The 17,756-nt window shown below is 45.1% G+C and overlaps 1 protein-coding gene across 16 annotated transcripts in view, besides 3 other annotated features; it reads right to left on the bottom strand.

Moving 5' to 3' along the window:
• Positions 1-10,341, bottom strand: part of DZIP1L (DAZ interacting zinc finger protein 1 like) — a 53,619-nt gene extending 43,278 nt beyond the window's left edge. For 13 of the 16 annotated variants that reach the window (XR_007095645.1, XR_924113.3, XM_047447642.1 and 10 more), the window contains exon 1: positions 2,925-2,984. Coding sequence is in view for 11 of the 16 variants with exons in the window: in XM_047447642.1 (XP_047303598.1) it covers positions 2,925-2,927 (3 nt within the window). In the remaining 5 variants the exon portion in view is untranslated. Of the gene's footprint in view, positions 1-2,924; positions 2,985-7,096; positions 7,234-8,121; positions 8,214-10,060 lie in introns of those variants that run through there. The other 3 variants (NM_173543.3, XM_006713527.4, NM_001170538.1) reach the window with 2 other exon arrangements.
• Positions 9,652-10,153: an enhancer, noted in NCBI's record as "H3K27ac hESC enhancer chr3:137833761-137834262 (GRCh37/hg19 assembly coordinates)". NCBI's record gives its function as "activates a minimal SCP1, AML or CMV promoter by ChIP-STARR-seq in primed H9 embryonic stem cells {active_cell/tissue: H9 hESC(primed)}" and the evidence as "EXISTENCE:reporter gene assay evidence [ECO:0000049][PMID:30033119]".
• Positions 9,776-9,995: a silencer, noted in NCBI's record as "silent region_14763". NCBI's record gives its function as "represses an Ori minimal core promoter by ATAC-STARR-seq in GM12878 lymphoblastoid cells {active_cell/tissue: GM12878}" and the evidence as "EXISTENCE:reporter gene assay evidence [ECO:0000049][PMID:35858748]".
• Positions 10,154-10,653: an enhancer, noted in NCBI's record as "H3K27ac hESC enhancer chr3:137834263-137834762 (GRCh37/hg19 assembly coordinates)". NCBI's record gives its function as "activates a minimal SCP1, AML or CMV promoter by ChIP-STARR-seq in naive H9 embryonic stem cells {active_cell/tissue: H9 hESC(naive)}" and the evidence as "EXISTENCE:reporter gene assay evidence [ECO:0000049][PMID:30033119]".

Genomic DNA, 17,756 nt, shown 5'->3' on the forward strand with positions numbered 1-17,756 from the left:
AATGGGGATAAATAAATGGATGGATGGTGTGTGGGTGGTGATGGTCAGATAGACAGGTAAATAGGCCTTCACAGACCAATGATGATCATTTTATATAAATATATATATATATACATATTCAGTCGTCTGTCAGTGTCCATGAGGGATTGGTTCCAGGACCCTCCTCAGATACCAAAATCTACAGATGCTCAAATTGCTTATACAAAATGGTGTAGTATTTGCATATAACCTATACACATTCTCGCACACACTCTAAATCATCTCTAGATTATTTATAATACCTAATACAATGTAAATGCTATAAAAATAGCTGTTATACTTAATTATTTAGGAATAATGACAAGAAAAAAACTCTGTACATGTTCAGTACAGAAGAAACTATCCTTTTTTTTTCAAATATTTTTGATCCGCAGTTTGTTGAATCTGTGGATGCAGATCCACAGATATGGAGAGTCAACATATATATACACCCATACACACACATACATATGAAAGACTCATATTTGTTATAATTAGTTTTATAATGAATAAAATATGCTCATTTATAATTCATATGTATGATTCACTTATGTATATTATTTCATAAGCATAGACTGTTTCTGGAAAGATAGACAAGAAGCTATTAGCAATGGCTGCCTCTGGGAAGTGAAAATAGAGATTACAGGACTTTTATTTTTCACTTTCTACCTCTCTGTACTATTCAAACTTCTTATCATCATCTTCTATCACTTTTATTATTTTTTAAAATAAAACATAGAATTTCAGTTCTTGCAGAAGTGAGAATCTGACTAAGGCAACAAGAGGTACACTTTACCCTATTTAATCAAGTCTTTCGAGATTACATGATTCAGTCTTCTTTCTTTTTTTTTTTTTTTTTTTTTTTTTTTTTGAGACAGTGTCTCGCACTGTCGCCCAGGCTGAAATACAATGGCGCGATCTCGGCTTACTGCAACCTCCACCTCCCGGGTTCATGCAATTCTCCTGCCTCAGCCTCCAGAGTAGCCGGGATTACAGGCACACTCCACCACACCTGGCTAATTTTTTGTATTTTTAGTAGAGACAGGGTTTCACTATGTTGGCCACACTGGTCTCAAACTCCTGACCTCGTGATCCACCCGCCTCAGCCTCCCAAAGAGCTGGGGTTACAGGTATGAGCCACTGCACCCGGCCCATGATTCAGACTTTAAAAAGTGCAATAGAAAGTGCACTTTAAAAAGTGCAATAGAAAGTCAAAGAAGTCATCAGCTTCAGAAGGAAGAAGGCCTTTAAAAAATCGTAGGACTAGGCTGGGCGCAGTGGCTCACGCCTGTAATCCCAGCACTCTGGGAGGCCAAGGTGGGTGGATCACGAGGTCAAGAGATTGAGACCATCCTGGCCAACATGGTGAAACCCCGTCTCTACTAAAAATAGAAAAATTAGCCGGGCGTGGTGGCGTGCACCTGTAGTCCCAGCTACTCGGGAGGCTGAGGCAGGAGAATGGTGTGAACCTGGGAGGCGGAGCTTGCAGTGAGCCGAGATCGCGCCACGGCACTCCAGCCTGGGTGACAGAGCGAGACTCCGTCTCAAAAAAAAGTGGTAGGACTAGGTTGGCCAAAAAAAAAAGAGAGAGAGAGAGAGAAAGAGAGAGAGAGAAGGGCCTCCAGGAACAGCCCCTGACCCCACTGAGCCACTGTCTTCTTCTGTGAAAGGCAGTGACAGGCCAGCCCTGCCTACCTCACAGGGTGCTATGAGACTTGGAGAAGATGCAAGGGGAAGGTGCTCAGTGATAACAATGGCAGCTCTGCAGGGAGTGTCACCCTCTGTGCTAGATACAAACTCCTAATACAAACCTACAAACAGGTATTATTATTCTCATTTTACAAATAAGGAAACTGGTTTCTGGAGTGGTTCAGTGGCATCCCCCAAAGGTCATATGTTGAAAACTCAATCCCCAATGCAGCAGTGTTGAGAGATGGGACATTTAAGAGGTGATTAAGTCACGAAGACTCTGCCCTCATGAATGGATGAATGTCATTATTGTAGGAGTGGGTTAGTTATCACAGGAGTAGGTTCCTGATGAAAGGAGGAATTCAGTCCCCTTCCCTCTTGCTCTTATGCTTTCTTGACCTTCCACTCTCCACCAGGAGATGATGCAGCAGGAAGGCCCTTGCCCAATATTGGACTTCAAGCTTGATATTGGACTTGATATTGGACTTAAGCTTCCAGAACTGTGAGAAATACATTTCTTTTCTTTATAAATTACCCAGTCTGTGTCATTCTGTTGCAACAGTACAAAATGGATGAAAACAGGAGACCAGATTTGAAGTGTAATTGTAGGTTCATCTGGCACCAAAGCTTATGGACTCTGAACCACTCAACATTGATTCTTGGGGCTATTCCTCCTAAAATATTGCTTTGATCAGATTATCATCCTTTATCCCTTAAACCTCCAATTCATCCATTTACTCACTCCTCATTTATAGTATGCCTATGTGGGCCCAGCCCAAGCTCAGGTCCTGGGCTATGGAGCCATATTAACCACACAGCTGCTCCCCACCCTGGAGCTCAGCATGGCTCCCTATTCCCACTGTACCAAACGCAAACCTCTCAGCCTGGTCTTGAGACTGCCTACAGGATGCCACTGGCCCACCTTTTCAGTTTCAGATCCATCCTTCCCTTTCTCAGATACTCTTTCCCAACAAGTACTCCAAAAAGAAAACCAGCCTGACATAAGCACCCCCACCATGGCCATGAGAAGACTAGCACATTTCTGCCATGTTATGAAACAGTGCAGTGGCGCGATCTCGGCTCACTGCAAGCTCTGCCTCCCAGGTTCACGTCATTCTCCTGCCTCAGCCTCCCAAGTAGCTGGGACTACAGGTGCCCGCCACCATGCCTGGCTAATTTTTTGTATTTTGAGTAGAGATGGGTGACATGATACTCACCATGCTTAGCTCCAAAGCTGCAACTGTGCCACCAGAGCCTCAGAGACGACTACTCACAACAAGCTGTGCCTCGGAGCAACAGCAGGTTACCAGGCATGCTGTGGGCAAGGGTAATAAGACACCTGCTTCCTGATGTCCCAGCTCTCAGGTGAGCTCACCTGAGAACTGCACTGTTTAACTATTTAAGCTTTGGCGTCAGATGTTTGCCAACAGTCCTCTCTCTAATAATAAAGTCAAGAACTCTCCATCAGCCACTCTCTCTCTCATCTCTCCTCCTACCTTTTTGAATGCTCTTCCTTAAACAGTGGCTATTCTTTCCCCTTTCTTTTATGACAGGGTGTGCCACTGCCCCCTTGATATTCTGCTATCCACCTGCAACCCATTTCTCCCTGCACGCTATCCCTAGGAATGAGCTCACAGCTTCAGCTACTATAGGCTTGCTCTAGGCTGAGCCTCAGTCACCCCCAAATCTCTTTCTCTCTAGCCCCTCGGTCTCTTGTGATCTTATACCCAACCATTCCATACTGATAATGCCAGGAATTGCAAACCCAAGTTCCACCAGGGCCAGAAAAGTAACATTAAATGCACAAAATGTAGCAGATATGAAAGAAACCACAGTACATGTGTGATGATAAATGGCAACTCATTCTCCATCTTATTGTCCAAGGTACAATAAGGCAGTGGTTCTCAAAGTGTGGTCTCTGGACCAGCAGCATCAGCATCACCTGGGAATTTGTTAGAAATGCAGATCCCCAGACTTACTGATTTAGAACCACTAAATCTGTGGAGTGCTGGGCTAGGAAACATTAGGGATTGTGGCAAACCTGAGAGTGCAGGCCCTGTTTAAGGTGGGAAACCACTATTGAGCTCCAGCCACAGGGGAATGGATTTTGTGTTCCTTATTGGCTAATTCCAAATACACTGAGTGATATTCAAAGACTTTGATGAACTGCTTCCAAAAGTACCTCTCTAGCTGCATCTCCCATTTACCATATTACTTGCCTTCCACACTTTCACACTTCTGGGCTGTTTATTTTATGTATAGACACTGTTTTTAAATGCTTTACAAAGAAGCACTCATCTATTTCTCAGGACAAGCCCTTGAGGAGGTACTATTATCATCTAAGCCACAGAGAAATAAAGAAGCTTGCCCAAGATCCAGAGGCAAGATTCACACCCAGGCAGCCTGGCTCCAGTCTGGGCTAGCCTCTATTCTATGCTGCCTCTTGGTATAGATGGTCCTTTGCCACCTCCTTTTGTTCCAATTAAAGGTTGACACATGTTTCAAGGCCCTGCTTATAAATGATTACCACCATATGGGAGTGTAAATTAGTTCAACCATTATGGAAGACAGTGTGGCGATTCCTCAAGGATCTAGAACCAGAAATACAAATTGACCCAGCAATCCCATTACTGTGTAGGTACCCAAAGGATTATAAATCATTCTACTATAAAGATACATGCACACATATATTTATTGCAGCACTATTAACAATAGCCAAGACTTGGAACTAACCCAAATGCCCATTAATGATAGACTGGATGAAGAAAATGTGGCACATATACACCATGGAATACTCTGCAGCCATAAAAAATAATGAGTTCATGTACTTTGCAGAGACATGGATGAAGCTGGAAATCATCATTCTCAGCAAATTAACACAGGAACAGAAAACCAAACACAGCATGTTCTCACTCATAAGTGGGAGTTGAACAATGAGAACACACAGACACAGGGAGGGGAATATCACACACCGGGCTTCCTGATATCCCAGCTCTCAGGGCTTAAAACCTAGATGACGGGTTCATAGGTGCAGCAAAACACCATGCATGTATACCTATGTAACAAACATGCACGTTCTGCACATGTATCCCAGAACTTAAAGTAAAATTAAAAATAAAATAAATAGATCCCATTTGTCTATTTCGGCTTTTGTTACCATTGCTTTTGGTGTTTTAGTCATGAAGTCCTTGCTGGAAACCATCATTCTGAGCAAACTATCACAAGGACAGAAAATCAAACACGGCCTGTTCTCACTCATAGGTGGGAATTGAACAATGAGAACACTTGGACACAGGAAGGGGAACATCACACACCAGGGCCTGTTGGGGGATGGAGGGCTGGGGGAGGGATAGCATTAGGAGAAATACCTAATGTAAATGACGAGTTAATGGGTACAGTAAACCCACATGGCACATGTATACATAATGTAACAAACCTGCACGTTGTGCACAGGTACCCTAGAACTTAAAGTATAATAATAAAAAAAAACTTCCCACAATAAAATAAATAAATAAATAAATGATTATCACCATAAATCCCTGCTACGCTCACAGTCAAAGTTCCCTGCCCCTCCCCTGGGCTTCCAGAGCGCACAGCATACACTTTGTCTGTTAGGGTGTCTCTGCAACATTCATATCTCCATCCCATCAACAAATGATTCCTGAGGCCCTACTAAGTGCCAGGCATCATGACTGGCACTCGGGATCAATGTTGACCTGGGCAACTATCCCTGCCGTTGTTAATAAAAATAGTTCACATTTCTGGAATTCTATTATTTTCCATACACAGTGCTAAGGCTTTACATGTATTATCCCACTTAATTCTCACAACAACCTATTATGCAGATGAAGAAACAGAGTGTGATCAAAGAGAGGAAACAGAGAGAGGAAACAAACAGGGGAAATGACTTTCCCACAGTCACACAACTAGTAAGTGATAGTGTCTGGCTCCAAAGTTTTTTTCTCCAGAGAGACAGAAAAATACACAGAAATTAACCCACAGAGCGGCAAGTGCCAAGACAGGAGCTGGGAAAGGGTTCTCTGGGAACACCAAGGAAGGGCCCATACCAGGATGCTTCTGTCTCCTTCCTCCCCCACTCCCCTGGCTGTGAACTTTACAGGGGCTGAGACCATGGCTTATTCGTATCTGCTGTATCCCAGTCCCCAGCCCATTACCTGGCACCCAGATTGCTACTGAACGGAGCAAAATTGTTGAAATCTCAGCATATCTGACTTAAAAATTCTGTTATTCTTAGGGTCTTGAAGTAATGGGGCTATGGACTGCCAAGAGTTAGTACAAAGAGTAAAAGCTGAGTAGGAATCCTTCATTCGGACTCATTGGAGGGAAATGCCACTCAGACTTAGTAAATGCTTTATTTGTTGACCATCTGCATCCAGAGTTTAATCCCATGGGCAAGTAATAAGAGCTGAGAGTGCAGGAGTCCCGGCAGGTGGAATCAGGCATATCAATGAGAAGTCGCAGTGCCCACGCTGACTGTCAAGATATGGCCTCAGTGTTGGAGCTTGCTTCCTGAGCAGCCCTGAAACCTTCATACTTACACTCTGAGCATACTCCATAAACACAGAAGGTGGCTGCCCCACTCCCAACTACACAGAATTAGGGGTCTGAGTTCATGAGGTTTTAATGTACCTCAAAAGTATTACTCATGTCTTTTTCTAGAACCCTAAGGGTCCAATTCTTAGATGTCCTAGAGCTCTGGCATTATAAGACGGAGCAGGGCCAGGCATGGTGGCTCACACCTGTAATCCCAGCACTTTGGGAGGCTGAGACAGGCGGATCACCTGAGGTCAGGAGTTCAAGACCAGCCTGGCCAACATGGTGAAACCCCGTCTCTACTAAAAATACAAAAATTAGCTGGGCATGGTGGTGGGTGCCTGTAATCCCAGCTACTTGGAAGGCTGAAGCAGGAGAACTGCTTGAACCCAGGAGGTGGAAGTTGCAGTCAGCCGTGAGCAGAGACTGTGCCATTGCACTCCAGCCTGGGCAACAAGAATGAAATTCTGTCTCAAAAAAAAAAAAAAAGATGGAGCAGAACTGTGGAACTTGAAGATGATTATGATGATATGATGATAGTATAATAGGTAATATTTATCAAACATCTATATGTCAGGCACTGTGCCTGCCTTTAAAAGTAGTAATTCTAAACTCATATAGCCTTGTAGATGGCTATGGTTCGTCTCATCTCACAGATGTAGAAACTGAGGCTCAGAGAAGCTAAGATCCCTGCTCACTCAGCTACTAAATAATGAAGCCAAGATTCAAACCAAGTTCTATCTGACTCCAGAGCTTTTGAATTATGCCAAACTCTTAATAATTATGATAATTATAATGATATACAAATTATTTTCCATTATGGAAATTACAATACCTGAGTTTTCTTGACCAAAGTGCAAGCGCTGACAGAGTTTACAGCAAATCACCACAGGGTTAGTGTTGGGGATTCTAAATTCTCCCTGTATTTCAGCAGGGCTTGTCTGAACCCGACTCAGCTCCACAGCTTGCGTCCTGATTAGGATAGGCGGACAAAAAGCCAAATGAGAGTGTTGCATGTTACCTGGAAACCATACACCCCAGGGGCAAGGACATCGTGCTTTTTTCAGACGAATTGTGAGCAGACTGCTTTTCCCACATCTGGGAATAAAAACACAAGGAAGAAATGACTCACTGTCAACCAGGAGCAGTGGCTCTCGCCTGTAATCCCAGCACTTTGGGAGGCCAAGGAGGGCAGATCGCCTGAGGTCAGGAGTTCAAAATCAGCCTGGCCAACATGGCGAAATCCTGTCTCTACTAAAAATACAAAAATTAGCTGGGCGTGGTGGCTCATGCCTGTAGTCCCAGCTACTCGGGAGGCTGAGGCAGGAGAATCACTTCAACCTGGGAAGCAGAGGTTGCAGTGAGCCGAGATCGCACCATTGCACTCCAGCCTGGGCGACAGAGTGAGACTTCGTCTCAAAAAAAAAGAGAGAGAAGAAATGACTCACTGTCATTAGGAAAACTGAAGCTGTTTAATCACCTTTAGATATATTGACAGGGTTTTGGGAAACTTCCCATTCCTAGACCAATATTATGAATAAGGGACCCAAAAGAATATTTGTGCTAACATTCAAACTTGCTTCATTGTTAAGAGTTGGTTTCTGCCTGGGACAATCCCACACCCATCTAGAATATAGAAAACCCATCTACCACCCTTGCTTTGCACACTCCCAGTGACAAGTTGTTCACCACCTCACAAGACAGCCATCCCACTGTGAAACAATCCCTGGAGACTTTATGGTTCTTCTAAAACCGGCCCACCAATAATCTGTCAAAAATAACTCCCTCAAAATTGGCCAAACACCTTATTTTTTAACATAAACTGACAGCTAGACAACAACAACAACATCACCACTTTACTGTCTCTTCTGCTTCCTCAAGAATGCAGTCAAGAGGAGAACTTGAGGGAGCCAAGTTTCCAAGGTGGCTGCCAGGCAATCATTTACAAACCTGCCCTGGCTCCCAAGCTAACTTCAGCAGTGCCCACTGGGGGAGCTCAGGCGTGTCATTAATGCTAATTGTTGTGGCTGCCAAGGAAACCTTCACACAGTTTGCAAACAGGCTATGCACACACAGTATGCAAGGGAGCTCCAGAGACCTCAACAGAGATGACAGGGACCTGGGAGCTCTCCTGAAGTACTGCCACTGCAGAGCTTAGCCTTATTCTCAGATTCCATGGTGTTCTCCTTTTCCACTCTTCCCTGACCCTCATGGGGGCTGCAGCGACTCCTAGAACCTTCAAGCAGCGAGACAAAGGTCCCCTCAACCGGGCACAGCGCTCTCCTTACACCTGGCCTCCTATTCCCAGCAACTTTAAGGAGATATTTTTAAGTGGCCATGGTTTTATCAAAAGCCTATTAAGTTTTTGCCACAAACGGATTTTATTTAAAATAAAAATAGGGGTAGGTATTTGACTGATGTCTCTTGGGAGTGTTTTAGAGAAGAGGAATGAATACTGACATGTCCTATCTTCCCAGATGCAGAATTGTAAAACAAACAAACATAATTGCTTTTCACATGTAAAAGAAAACTGGCTTAGAACATACTAGCGTTTTCTTTGCCATGAAGGAGTTCACCTTCAGTGACTAAGCCAGAACTACTAGAGCTGCCAGGCCTAGGGACAGGAGACATTGCCAGTGCTTAGCCAGGCTGGCCAGGACTAACCATCTCTGCAAGGAGTCCACAAGAAGCCTCAGGGCAGCCTTTCCCTGCTCCTATCAATTTGAGTTGAGCAAAAAACCTTTGACCAAATATCAGCTCCATGGCACAACCCACAGTTATGGTGCCCACATGAACTCAGGTTTCTGTTCCCAACCTGAAGCATACAACTTCATGAGGTATTTTATCAAGTTAGATAGTATCAAAAAATATTCCCAGATGAGGGAGGTGTCTGACCAAGACAGTCAGAAGGCCCCTTATCAGCCACTAGACTGGAGGATCAGCCTTCCCTAAGCAGGATTGTTCTCACTGGCCAGTCCTCACATCCGGGAGGGGGAGGAGAGGTGCTAGGGGCTGCAACTGAGAAGGGAGAGATCACCCACCCTATCTGCAGATGAGGGTGTGAGAAGCCAAGTCAGAACACCCCATACTTCCCAGGCCTCTCTCCAAAGTCCTGTTAGAAATCGAATTCCAGGAGACCAGGCAGGGGCAGCCTAGGCCCTGGGCCCCTAGGAAGTGCTCCGTGAACTAGGCCCTGCCCAGGCAGCCTCGGACCCCCTCCTCTGCCCTGCCTCCTGATCCCTGTCCTGCACTGAGCAGGTCTTCGGTGGACTTTATGCGCAGCCACCTCAGGATGAAAATACCACGTCTGCCTCCTGCTGAGGTCCAGCCCAGGAAAGGAAGAAGGGGAACGAAAGATGCCAATGCGATTGCTTTTAAATCACCTCATTACTAAAAGAATCCTCCTTTACCTACGGCACTCAGATCATCAAGCCCTCCCAAATCACTTTTCTTTTTTCAAAAAGTAAAAACCCAAGGCCGTCTTCCCAGTGAAGCCGAGTCTTGGGGCATCCCGTCATTCGTCCCCCGCGCACGGGTCCTTCCCTCCCTGGGCGCCGCAGTTCGGAGCAGGCCGAGGGGGCCGGGCTGCAGGGCCGCGCCGGGCCAGAAGGGCGCGCCCTGGGCAGCGCGGACGCACGCAGCCGGCTCCTCCCGCGCCCCGCTGCACCCCGGCAGGGAGTTCGCCCCCGCTAATGTTTAACCTCCCGAATCGCTGATCCCTCGGACTGCAGCCAAGCTACCCACCCGCCCCGCTCCCGGGACGAATTCCTGGCATAGTTTTCCCGCGCGGCCCGCTCACCGTGGGGTCTCCTGGAGCCGGGGACGGCGGGAAGACGTCTCGAGGTGGCGGCTCCCATACTCGCCCCACGTCCCGCCTCCAGACTTGCTCCACCGCCCCAGACAGCCCAGAGATGGTTCCCGGAATGCTCACCGCCCGCCGTTCCCGGGATGCTTCCCCAGCCCCACGCAGTCCGGGCGCTCTCTGCGGCGGAGGCAGAGCCTGCCCGGCCCACTCCAGTGCCGCCAACCTGCGGGACCGCGGACAGAGAGCTCCTCGGTGCGTCGGTCAGCTCGTGGCTTGGGGTCTCTGGTGCCTCCAGCTCCTACTACAGCCGCCCCGCCCCACCTCAAGAAGAGGTGGAGCCTCTCCCGGCCCCTCTCGGACGAGCTATTTTTAGGTCTGTAACGGATGGGGGAAGGCGGGAATGCCACGTTTAATCCGTTAGTAAAATCCAGGATCCAAGTGAATGGCTTCCTGGCCTTGCTGAGAGGCTGGACTTGCCCCGGTTTCCCCACACCCTGCCTCCGGTACAATCGATAGCCTGCTGTGCAGGGGCGGCCGCACCCCCCGGGCAGATAGCCCTGCCCACCCTCCTAAAGGGACCGTCCTGGTTTCTTCCTGACCGGATCCCAAGCTAGGAGAGTTCTTTGGGTGTGCCCCAGGTCTGATCAGACAGACAGCAGCCACCTTCCCTCCGCAGCCCCCACCCACCACCCCCTACCCTCCCAACCTGCTGGTTTGCCCTGGGGATGCCAACTTGGAAACCCAGGACTGAAAAACTTATTTTTTCTCCTGATATTAGTCCCTGATCTCTTCCCATAGTAGTAGTTGCTTTGCTGAGATTCCGTTTTGTGGGCACCGTAACTGTGAGTTGTGCCATAGAGCTGATATTTGGTCAAAATGTTTGTTGCTCAACTCAAATTGATAGGAGCAGGGAAAGGCTGCCCTGAGGCTTCTTGTGGACTCCTTGCAGAGATGGTTAGTCCTGGCCAGCCTGGCTAAGCACTGGCAATGTCTCCTGTCCCTAGGCCCGGCAACTCTAGTAGTTCTGGCTTAGTCACTGAAGGTGAACTCCTTCATGGCAAAGAAAACGCTAGTATGTTCTAAGCCAGTTTTCTTTCACATGTGAAAAGCAGTTATGTTTGTTTTACAATTCTGCATCTGGGAAGATAGGACATGTCAGTATTCATTCCTCTTCTCTAGAGCACTCACAAGGGGCATCAGTCAAATACCTACCCCTATTTTTATTTTAAATAAAATCCTTTTGTGGCAAAAACTTAATAGGCATTTGATAAAACCATGGCCACTTAAAAATATCTCCTTAAAGTTGCTGGGAATAGGAGGCCAGGTGTAAGGAGAGCTCTGCGCCTGGTGGAGGGAACCTCTGTCTCGCTGCTTGAAGGTTCTAGGAGTCGCTGCAGCCCCCATGAGGGTCAGGGAAGAGTGGGAAAAAAGCTCCTTTTCACACACACTCTCTCTCTCTCCACTCCGCAACTCTTCTCCCTCCCTCTTTCTCTTTTTTCCATTTCAAAGGCTTTCGTCCCACCACAATCTCAATCTGCCAAGCTCTACATTTTGAGGCAGCCAAAGCAAATGTGTATGGGAACAAGCGTTGTCAAGGACTTGCAGGGAAACTGGAACTCCTGTGCATTGCTGGTGGGAATGTAAAATGGTACCATTACTGTGGATACAGAATGGTAGTTCCTCAAAAAATTAAACAAGAATTGCCAAAAGATCCAACAATTCCATTTCTGGGTATATACCCCAAAGAACTGAAAGCAGGGATTCAAACAGATATTTGTATACTCATGTTCATAATAGCATTATTCACAATAGCCAAAAAGTGGAAACAATTCAAATGTCTATCGACAGATTAATGGATAAGCAAAATGTGGTATATCCATACAATGTAATATTAACTTTAAAAGGGAAGGAAATTCTGACACATGAATGAACCTTGAAAACTGTCTTAGTCTATTCAGGCTGCTATAACAAAATACCATTGAGTGGGTAGCATATAAACAATAGAAGTTTTTTTCTTACAGTTCTGGAGGCTGGGAAGTCCAAAATCAAGACATTGGCAGATTCGGTGCCTGGTGAGGGCCTGTTTCCTGGTTGATAGGCTGTCATCTTCTCACTGCACCCTCACTTAGTAGAAGGGGGCTGGCTAGCTCTCTGGGGTTTCTTTCATAAGGGCACTAGTCCCAATTATGAGGACTCTACCTTCATGACCTAACCACCCCCCAAAGGCCCCACCTCCCAATACCGTCACCTTGGGGGTCAGGATTTCAACCCCATTTTGCAGGGACACAAACATTCAGATCAAGGCAAAAGCATTATGCTAAATGAAATAAGCTGGACACAAAAGGACAAATATTGTATTATTCCACTTATACCTGGAAATATTGTATGATTCCACTTGTACCTAGAATAGTCCATTCACAGAGACAGAAAGTAGAATAGTGGTTACCAGTGGCTGGAGGAGGGGGAATGAGTAGTTATTGATTCATGAGTACAGATTCTCAGTTTGGGAATGATGAAAAAGTTCCAGAGATAAATGGTAGTGATGGTTGCACAATAATGTGAATGTACTTAATGCCACTGAATTGTACACTTGAAAATGGTTACGATGGCAAATTTTACATTATGTACAGTTTATCACAATTTTTTAAACATTAAAAAAAAATAGTGGATGGAGCAGGGACCAGGACTAAGTTGGGATATCTGTGCACCATGTATTCGGATGGGGGATCTTGTTCCTGCCGTCTTCTCCTAGTCAGGGCACTTTTTTCACCCCAGGATTTTCTGCCACCCACAAGAGCAAAGAGAAGAGTCCAGGCCTTGGGAGTCAAAGACACATCTACATTCCACATTCCCAAGCTACATAACCCTGGGAAAGTCACGTAGCCTCTCTGACCTTTCATTTTTCTCCTCTGTAAAATGGGAAAAGTAAACTCTACCTAGAAGAGTTGTTAGAATCAAATTAGCTAAATTACATGTAGGCTCTGCCCTGGGCCTACAAGTCAGTGGTGTGCACTCCTGACTTGACACTGTGAAATCGCCAAGGACATTTGCTTCTCAGCTCTCTTCCCACTGTATCCCTGAAATTTGCAGAAAGTAGTTCTGAGGATACCTTTGTGCATGTTATTTCCACCAGCCTCAATTTCCCCATGTGTAAATAGGGTGCCCTCCTTTGCAGGGCTGGTGTAAGAAAGTAGACTTGACATGCACCCAGATCTACCTTAGCCAAAAACCAAATCCTGAATCTTGAGCTGACTAAGACCTCATGCATGGAACCCTCACACTCTTCCCTTACTGGGCCTTAGTTCAACACTCAACACAGGGAGGAGTTACTGCATGCCTATCATGTGCCAAGTTATTTTCTTAGTCCCAAGGATACCAACAACCTCTAGAGGACTAGATCACTTGGCACTGGAAAGCTGTCATTTCTGCTGCCCACCTCTACTGTAGCACACACAAGCTCTGGCATCAGCCGTGGGGACAGGTGCATAGACCAAGGGAGACTGGCCCTAGCTGGCTAGTCCAGGAGACATTCCTGTCACCCCGAGCAGCTGGCCCATAACTGCTGGGTGGGAGGACAGGAGGATGGATTTTCAATATCCCAATGGCCCCTCACTCCCTCCTCAGCCCAGTACTAGTCACCCGCCCTCTGACCCAGCTCAGCCCCTTTCACAGACGGTCTCCCTCCTACACCTCAGGAAATAGGACACAGCCTAGACAGCCTGTAATAGGAGTGCCCTCTGCTGCCAAATGCTGGCATCACACCTTAGAAACCTGCTCTGGATCCCATTCTCCTGAAGGGAAGTGTATCTGAGGTGTATGGGACAGGTCTCCCTGCGCTGGGATGCCGGCCACTAATGAGCCCTGAGGTGATTTTAGGTCAAAAGTGTATTGTTGGGTTTTCTGCGTTGATGTATAGATAGGCAGGCATACAGTCAGAGGAGGATTTTACATAAAATCTGGTTTGCTGGTTTCTGAAAAATCTAAGAATCTAGCAACAAAAGAAAGGCCTGCACTCTGACATGTCTAGAACTGGCAGGATCTGAGAGGAAACTTTCTTAGGCAGATCGTACATTCTAGCCCAATCCCTGAAAAGTTCACTTTGAAGGAAGTCTGAGCACTTACCGAAAAGACCTCCTTTCTCAGGAAAACATCCCTTCTGCAAAAATGAAAATGCAGAGCTGGATAAGCCTGGCCTAAGGCGTGGCTGTGATATGGCCCCTCATTGGCTGGCAGTGATGGGCGGGTGGGATCTAGAAGGAGCTGCCCCAGCTGCCTCCTGCCTGGGCTTTTGCCTTTTGGAGGAGGGATTCCTCTTTGGCAGTTTGATGAAGCCCACACCCTTTCCTCAGAATGGTTTTTATTTTTATTTTTTATTTATTTATTTATTTTTTGAGACGGAGTCTTGCTCTGTCTCCAGGCTGGAGTGCAGTGGCATGATCTCGGCTCACTGCAACCTCCACCTCCTGGGTTCAAGCGATTCTCCTGCCTCAGCCTCCCAAGTAGCTGGGACTACAGGCGCCTGCCACCACACCCAGCTAATTTTTGTATTTTTAGTAGAGACGGGGTTTCACCATGTTGGTTAGGATGGTCTCGATCTCTTGACCTTGTGATCCGCCCACCTCAGCCTCCCAAAGTGCTGAGATTACAGGTGTGAGCCACCACGCCCAGCCTAAGAATGGTTTTAAATGCACCAAGCAAAACATAGAATTACAGAGGACATCAAAATATTGAAAATATAGCTATGAAAACATAAGAAAATGTGTAAAATAATAGCATTTTTGTTTATTAATGCATTAAATGGCAAGATCTAGCATCTGACCTAAAAGTAGTAAGAGTGTAAACAATTATTTCAAGATATCCGTAATAACTTTAATGTGATAGGAAAAAACTAATATTTAATGACAAAGTCACAGGTTCTACTAATACTACTGTGGTTTGTGGCATACATTCATAATTGGAAGGAATGATACATTTTGATTAACAGCTAGTAAAAATAAAGAGTAAGTTCCCAGACCCCCAAAATCTCTTCACAGCCCCCTAAATTAAGAATCCCTGCCCCAATACCACCAAGGAGAGTGCACTAACCTTGTAACTTAGTTTAGAAGATACATCTGAGATTCAGGGTCCTGACAATTCCCTTGGGTGAGAGAGCTCTGCCTTTATTTCTTGAAGGGGAGCAGAGTGACAGAAGGGTAGGGAAGCATGGCATGAAACCCAAAAAACAAAAAAAAAGACAGGTTGGATTACATAAAAATTTTGAAACATATATGGTGAAAACATCCTAAATGAGGTTAAAAAACAAAGAACTAAAAAAAATGCAGTGTAATGATACAGTATTCATGACATTAATTTATAAAGAGTGCTTACAAATCAACAAGAAATAGAACAACTCAAAAGAAGAGTGGACAAAAGATGAGATGATTCATATAATAAAAAAAATTGCCAGTTAAACATGTAAACAACCTTACCAAAATGAACATAAAAATTACATGTTTTAAATTATTATACTGACCAAAATTAAATAGATGTTTTAAACTGGTGAAAAGTGGGAAAATGGGCAGTTTCAAACAGCCTTCTTGAAAAATAATTATCAAAATTTAAAGTCCTCAAAAATGCAGTAATCAGGATTTTTTGCTATAGTATTACATGTACTATTAAAATTAGAATAATGTAAATATCCACCAATCAAATAATGATTGAGTAGATTATCATGTATCCTACAATGAAACACTATGCAACCATTATAAAGAAAAAAGTATATTATATCTTGATGTGCTAATGAAAAAAGGTACCTACGACATACACATTTTTAAAGTGAAAAACAACATACAAATAACATGTATCTTTTTTTTTTTTTAAAGACAGAATTTGGCTCTTGTTGTCCAGGCTGGAGTGCAGTGGTACAGTCTCAGCTTACTGCAACCTCCACCTCCCGGGTTCAAGCAATTCTCCTGCCTCAGCCTCCCAAGTAGCTGGGATTACAGGTACGCGCCACCACGCCTGGCTAATGTTTGTATTTTTAGTAGAGACGGGGTTTCATCGTGTTGGCCAGGCTGGTGGTCTCGAACTCCTGACCTCAAGTGATCTGCCCCCCTCAGCCTCGCAAAGTGCTGGGATTACAGGCATAGGCCACCACGGATGGCCATAACATGTATCTTATGATTCCATTTGTATTTTTTTTAACTATTTATATGAGAAACTCAGGAATGGTATTCAAAATATTTAACGAGTCTGGCACAGATACCAACCAATCAGCACTGATGCTGGCTCTTACCCTAGAGAAGGAAAGAGACAGTCCTGTTGAATTGTGGGTGGGAGTCCTGGGGAAAAAGCAAGGGCAGACAAGGTGGCAGTGCAGGGTACTTGGAAGAGACTTCTTACCAATAAGCGTGAATATATATGCAGAGAAAGAGCGAGAGGTACCTACAAACATGACAGTAGTACCCAACACGCACTTTCACTTTTTGCCCCACACAATCCTATTTGAAATTCTAAGAATGAGTAGGATTTGAAAAAAAATTAATACAGGGAAAAACACCAGCATGAGCCTATTTGCAAAATGTAGCCTGATATAAATTCATGGCATAGATTCACAAAAGGCCAGAAGGAATCCAGGGTTATCTGGGGTCCCAGGAACCTCACATTTCTTACCACTTACTACTCTTGCCATCATCACCACCACCATGTTTTGAAATGTTCCTTTTCACTAAGCAAACTGGATTCATTAAGTAATACATTATTATTTTATTTGCTACATTTTTTATTAATCAAAAACATAATTTACTGCCAGGTAAAGCTCCCTATAAACATCAAATTATCATTAATGTCAAAATGAATTTGTGTATGTGTGTGTGCGTGTGTGTGTGTGTGTGTACATTTATTTACTTATTTATTTATTTAAGATATGGTCTCACTGTCTTGCCCAGGTTGGAGCACAGTGGTGTGATCATAGTTCACCATAACCTAGAACCCATGGGCTCAAGTGATCCTCCTTCCTTAGCCTCCCAAGTAGCTAGGACTACAGGTGAGCCACCTTGCCTGGCTATTTGTTTTTTGTAGGGACAGGGTCTTGCTGTGTTGCCCAGTCTGATCTCTAACTCCTGGGCTCAAGCAGTTCTCCCACCATGGCCTCCCAAAGTGCTGGCGTTATAGGCGTGAGCCAATGTGCGTGGCCAATTCACATATTTTTGAAATATCGAAAATATTTCTAATCAAACCCCTCAAAACCCTGTTGGTCAGGAATAGTTGAAGAACCATTTGTCATGCATTCTCCAAAAATAGAAGGGAGAGACAATGTATGTGTCCCTGCTTGTCTCTAAGACAGCTAGCCCTAGAAATCCTCATCTGTGGAGACAGTCAGGAGAGCTGAAAACCAGCAGTGGTTCCTAGGACACAACCCAAAAGACAGCCATGGGGTATGGCAGCAGGCCTCAGAGCCTGACGATGGTATCAGACATCTACAAGTCCAAAGCAAGTAGCTGTGAATAAATAAAGCTGGGACATGAGACTTGACTTGTAAATATTTTTTAACAAGATTGTCAAAGCAGTGATTTTTTTTTTTTTATCTGGCTTTGTCACCCAGACTGAGTGCAGTGGCACGATCTTGGCTCACTGTACCCTCAACCTCCCATGTTCAGGTGATCCTCCTAACTCAGTCTCCCAGCTAGCTTGGACTACAGGCATGCATCAC

This window comes from Homo sapiens, chromosome 3 (assembly GCF_000001405.40).
Source record: "Homo sapiens chromosome 3, GRCh38.p14 Primary Assembly".
Classification (NCBI taxonomy): domain Eukaryota; kingdom Metazoa; phylum Chordata; class Mammalia; order Primates; family Hominidae; genus Homo; species Homo sapiens.